Raw genomic sequence first — 5,696 nt, forward strand, 5'->3', positions numbered from 1 at the left:
ATTGGATGCATATATATTTAGGATAGTTAGCTCTTTTCATTGAATTGATCCCTTTACCACTATGTAATGCCCTTCTTTGTGTTTTTTTTTATCTTTGTTGGTTTAAAGTCTTTTTTGTCAGAAACTAGGATTGCAACCCCTACTTTCATCTGCTTTGCATATGCATGATAGATTTTCCCCCATCTCTTTATTTTGAGACTATGTGTGTCTTTGCACAAGATGTGTCTCTTGAATAAAGTATAATTGATGGGTCTTGACTCTTTATCCAGCTTGCCACCCTGTGTCTTTTAATTGGAGCCTTTGGCCCATTTACATTTAAGGTTAATATTATTATGTGTGAATTTGATCTTGTCATCATGATGCTAGCTGTTTGTTTTGCAGACATCTTGATGTAGTTGCTTCATAGTATAATTTGGTCTTTGTATTTCAGTGTGTTTTTGCAGTGGCTGGTAATGGTTTTTCCTTTCCATATTTAGTTCTTCCTTCAGGAGCTCTTGTAAAGCAAACCTGGTGGTCATAAGTTCCCTCAGCATTTGTTTTTCTGAAAAGGATTTTATTTCTACTTTGCTTACGAAGCTTAGTTTGGCCAGATAGCCATTTCTGGGTTGGAAATTATTTTCTTTAAGAATGTTGAATATTTGCCCCAATCTCTTCTGGCTTTTAGGGTTTCTGCTGAGTGGACCACTGTTACTGTGATGGGCTTCGCTTTGTGGGAGACCTGGCCTTTATCTCTGGCTGCCTTTAACATTATTTCCTTCATTTTGACCTTGTAGAATCTGATTATTATGTGTTTTGGATTTGAGTTTTAATTTGATTGTGCTGTGGTCTGACAGACTGTTATGATTCTCATGGAGTCTTTCTGGAGTTCTCTGAAATTCCTGAATTTGCCTCTCTTGCTAGGTTATGGAAGTTCTCCTGGATGATATCACGAAGTGCGTTTTCCAACTTGGTTCCATTCTCCCTGCCTCTTTCAGGTACCACAATCAGTCGTAGATCTGGCTTTTTTTACATAATCCTATATTTCTTGGAGGTTTTATTTGTGCCTTTTCATTCTTTTTCCTCTAATATTGTCTGCCCGTCTTATTTCAGCAAGTTAGTCTTCAATCTCTGAAATTCTTTCTTCCACTTGGTCTATTCAGCTATTGATACTTGTGGTTGCATTTTGAAGTTCTCATGTGGTGTTTTTCAGCTCCATCAGGTCATTTATGTATTTTTTTCTAAACTGTTTATTCTGTAATTACAGCTCCTGTAATGTTTTATCATGGTTCTTAGCTTCTTTACATTGGGTGAGAACATGCTCCTTTAGCTCAGCAGTTTCTTATTACTAACTTCTGAAGCCTACTTCTGTCAGCTCATTCTTCTCAGCCTCAGCCCAGTTCTGTGCCCTTGCTAGTGAGGTGTTGCAATCATCTGGAGGAGAAGAGGCACTCTGGCGTTTTGAGTTTTCAGCATTGTTTTTTAATTGTTTCTCATTTTCCTGAGTTTATCTAGCTTCAATCTTTGAGGCTGCTGACCTTTGGATGGGGTTTTTGTGGGGGCTTTTTTGTTGATGCTATTGTTGTTGCTTTCTGATTGTTTTTCTTTTAACCGTCTGGCCCCGCTTCCATAAGGCTTTTGTGGTTTGCCGAGGGTGGTCTACTCCAGACCCTATTGACCTGGATCCCTCCCGCCCCTGGAGGTGTCACCAGTGGAGGCTGCAGAATAGCAAAGATGACTGCCTGCTCCTTCCTCTGGGAGGTCTGTCCCAGAGGAGCATCAACCTGATGCCATTGGGAATGCTCCTGTATAATGTGTCTGGTGACCACTGCTGAGGTGCCACCCAGTCAGGAGGCAAGGGATCAGGGACCCACATAATGAAGCAGTCTGGCTGCCCCTTGGTGGAGGTGATGCATTGTACTGGGGGGAATCCCATTCTTCCATTCTGCCGGGATTCCTCAGAGCCAGCAGTGGAACAGACTAAGTCCACTGATCCGCAGAGGCTGTGGCTGCCCCTCCCCCAGGGGCTCCGTCCCAGGGATTTCAGAGTTCTGTAAACCTCTGGCTGGAGTTCCTGAAGTTCCTGCAGGTAAGCCCTGTCTGGTGAGGAGGGATGGGTCTGTGACCGGCCTAAAGAAGCAGTCTGGCCACAATCTGCCACAGCCACTGTGCTGCGCTGTGGGGAATTCCTCCTGGGTCCAAACTGCCCAGTCTCCCCAGCACCGGCAAGGGAAAATGGCAGACTGGAGCGGCAGTGATGGCTGCTGCCCCTCTCCCCAAGAGCTCCATTGCCTTAGGCAGCGGGCAGCTGAAGTTATGGCGGCTGCCCCTCCCCCTGAGAGCTCAATCCTCTTAAGCAGTAGGCAGCTGAAGTGATGGTGCTCCCTCTCCCCCTGGGAATTCAGTCCTCTTAAGCAGCGGGCAGCTGAAGGGATGGCGTCTGCCCCTCCCCCCAGGAACTAGGTAGTCTTAAGCAGTCTGCAGCCAAACAGCTGCGTAAAATCTGCACAGCTCCGTGCTTGGGACCAAAGGCCCTTGTGGCGTGGGCTCACGAGAGGAACTCCTGATCCTCGGGTTGCACAGATCTGTGGAAAAAGCGAGTGGTTTCCTGGACAGGTTAGCACAGTCACTCACTGCCTCCCTTGGCTAGGTGTGCGAGCTTCCCTTGCCGTGTGCGGCTACCAGGTGGGCCATTACTCCACCCTGCTTTTCCTCAGTGAGAGAACCTGGATGCCTTAGTTGCTGGTGCAGGATTCACTTGCCGTTTTCGTTCTTCTAGGTGGGAGCCTCTGACCACAGCTGTTTCTAGTCAGCCATCTTGGCCCCTCCCTCCCGAAAATTTTAAATTGTGCAACATTTTTAGTAGCTTGATGAAATCTCTTGTCTTTGGACCTCTTCCCACCTGGCTATAATCAACCCTTTGTCAAAAATATCCCTGCTGTATATACTAGCTACCAGTTAGGTACTTACTTACCATCTCGGATATCAGATGGACAGATCACAAGAAGAAGAGTGAGTATAGCAATAAGAGAAAGAGAGAGACTACATTCACTTAACGTCTTTTATTATGGTATATTTTAATAATTGTTTTATTATTAGGTATTGTTGTTAACCTATTATTGTGCCTAATTTATAAATTAAACATTGTCATTGGTATGTATGCATAGAAAACTCAGTATATTTTGGGTTTGGTACTCTCCATAGTTTCAGACATGCCCTGGGAGTCTTGGAATATATCCTTCTCAGGTAAGAGGAAACTACTGTATCTCATTTGCATGTGTAAATACACACATATATTTACATACATGATATATATGCAAATATGTATACAGACTTATTTTGATAAGTATTTTTATCATTTTTTTTTAAGACAGGGTCTTTTTCTGTCACCCAGGCTGGAGTGCAGTGGTGCAATCATGTCTTGCTGCAACCTCTGCCTTCCAGGCTCAAGTGAGCCTCCTACCTCAGCTTCCTGAGTAGCTGGGACCACAGGTGCACACTACCACACCTGGCTAATTTTTTGACGTCTTTTTAGAGATGACGTGTCACTACATTACCCAGGCTGGTCTCAGACTTCTGAGTTCAAATGATCCTCCCATCTCGGCCTCTCAAAATGCTGGGATTACAGGCATGAACCACCGCACCTGGCCTAGTATCTTTATTTATATATATTATATATGGAGAGACAGATGATACACATGTAAATATTATATATGGAGAAACAGATGATACACATATGTCACATATATTATAATATATAATATTACATATGTATTATATGTGTACAGATGATACCCACACTATATATAATATATATATTATATATATATATATTTTTTTTTCCCCTACTTGCTCTATCCACAGAGTGGTCCTGGGAGCGGCATCACTCCAATAACACAGCATCTAGATCATGGTTTCTGAATGACCTTCAACACTAGAAAGAATTGGGATTTCCAGGTCCAAGGCAAGAAAAGGGTAAGATGGATCTGAAAAACATTGTGCTGCAAATTGAGAAAGTATTCAATAAATGAAGATGCATAACATACACAGAAGCCAGCTTTAAGTGACTTTGATCAGATCTGAGCTAATGTGAAGACTAAAATAAGGATAACATATTATAACCTAATACATGAGTCCATAGTACATTAGTTTGCTAGGGCTGCCATAAAAAGTACTGAAGGTTAGCTGGGCCTGGTGGCTCAAGCCTGTAATCCCAACACTTTGGGAGGCCGAGGCGGGCAGATCACGAGGTCAGCAGGAGATCGAGACCATCCTGGCTAACACCGTGAAACCCCGTCTCTACTAAAGAATACCAAAAAAAGTAGCCAGGCCTTTTGGCGGTCGCCTGTAGTCCCAGCTACTCCGGAGGCTGAGGCAGGAGAATGGTGTGAACACGGGAGGCGGAGCTTGCAGTGTGCCGAGATTGTGCCACTGCACTCCAGCCTGGGTGACAGAGCAAAGACTCCATCTCAAAAAAAAAAAAAGAAAAAAAAGTACTGCAGGCTAGGTGGCTTAAAAAAAATAAACTAATTTTTTTTTTCACAGTTCTGCATGCTAGAAGTCTGAGATCAAGGTGTTGATTCAAGGCTGTGAGGGAAAGATCTGTTTGAGGCCTGTGTGGCTTGTGGATGGCTGTCTTCTTCCTGTGACTTCACATATATTCCCTCTGTAAATGTCTGTGTCCAGATTTCCTGTTCATAGGAATACTGGTCATATTTTATTAGGATCCACCATAATGACCTCATTTTAACTTATCACTGTAAATATCATGTCTCCAAATACAGTCACATTCTTAGGTGCTGAGGGTCAGAACAGGAGGTGGGACACAATTCATCCCATGACACTTAGTGATATGAATTATTATATAAATAAATTAATAGTGTGGAATAGTATGCCCTGTAATTCCATAAAATGCCAATGAATAATAATCACTTTTTAGTGGAGTAACCAGAATATACCTTCAAATCAAGTGATTTGAATTAACGTTTACTTAGCTTGCCTCTTGATATAATACATACAGAAAACCATAGCACTGCTTCTGTAATATTCCTACTATAGTTGCGCATCTTGAATATGATCGTGTGGAAAGAGCATAGCAACTCAAACCTAGGCATATTTTAAAGACCACTTTCCAGTGTTCTTAAAAAACATCAATATTTATAAAAAACAGGAGACTGAAAAACTCTTCTTGATTGAAGAGACCAGACAGTTGTGATAACTACGTACAATTAGCAATCCTGTATTGCATCTTAGATCTCTGAAGGCCATTGTTAATCAGCAAAATTTAGATGGGATCTTTAAATTAGTTGGCAGAATTAAATCACTGTTGACTGCTTTATGTTGATGGTTGTATTGTGGTTATTCGGGAGAGTGCTCTGCTTAGCAAAAATACTAAAGTACTAAGTGTGGATGAAGCATTGTGACTAATGAATAATAAGACAAATATGGTAAAATCCTGGATTGTCTGGATGATGGAGGATTGCAAACATGGAAGTTCTTTTTACTATCCTCTAAATGTTTTGATGAGGCTGAAGTTATTTTAAAGCAATCCCCTCCCCCCAAAAAATACACAAATAGCATCGAGATATTTTTGTATAAAATTTCTTTCTAAACTTCGAAGAAGAGGATCCACTTCCCTCTACCAAAACTGAAGGTTAGCAGATCCTTCTGTTCATTACCAACACTCCTTTTAGATGTTGTATCTGTTACAACATCTTGGA

The 5,696-nt window shown here is 42.0% G+C and overlaps 2 annotated features.

Annotated features, from left to right (window-relative positions):
- Positions 1,878–2,378: an enhancer, noted in NCBI's record as "H3K4me1 hESC enhancer chr13:58361242-58361742 (GRCh37/hg19 assembly coordinates)". NCBI's record gives its function as "activates a minimal SCP1, AML or CMV promoter by ChIP-STARR-seq in naive H9 embryonic stem cells {active_cell/tissue: H9 hESC(naive)}" and the evidence as "EXISTENCE:reporter gene assay evidence [ECO:0000049][PMID:30033119]".
- Positions 2,379–2,879: an enhancer, noted in NCBI's record as "H3K4me1 hESC enhancer chr13:58361743-58362243 (GRCh37/hg19 assembly coordinates)". NCBI's record gives its function as "activates a minimal SCP1, AML or CMV promoter by ChIP-STARR-seq in naive H9 embryonic stem cells {active_cell/tissue: H9 hESC(naive)}" and the evidence as "EXISTENCE:reporter gene assay evidence [ECO:0000049][PMID:30033119]".

Source organism: Homo sapiens, chromosome 13, assembly GCF_000001405.40.
Source record: "Homo sapiens chromosome 13, GRCh38.p14 Primary Assembly".
Classification (NCBI taxonomy): domain Eukaryota; kingdom Metazoa; phylum Chordata; class Mammalia; order Primates; family Hominidae; genus Homo; species Homo sapiens.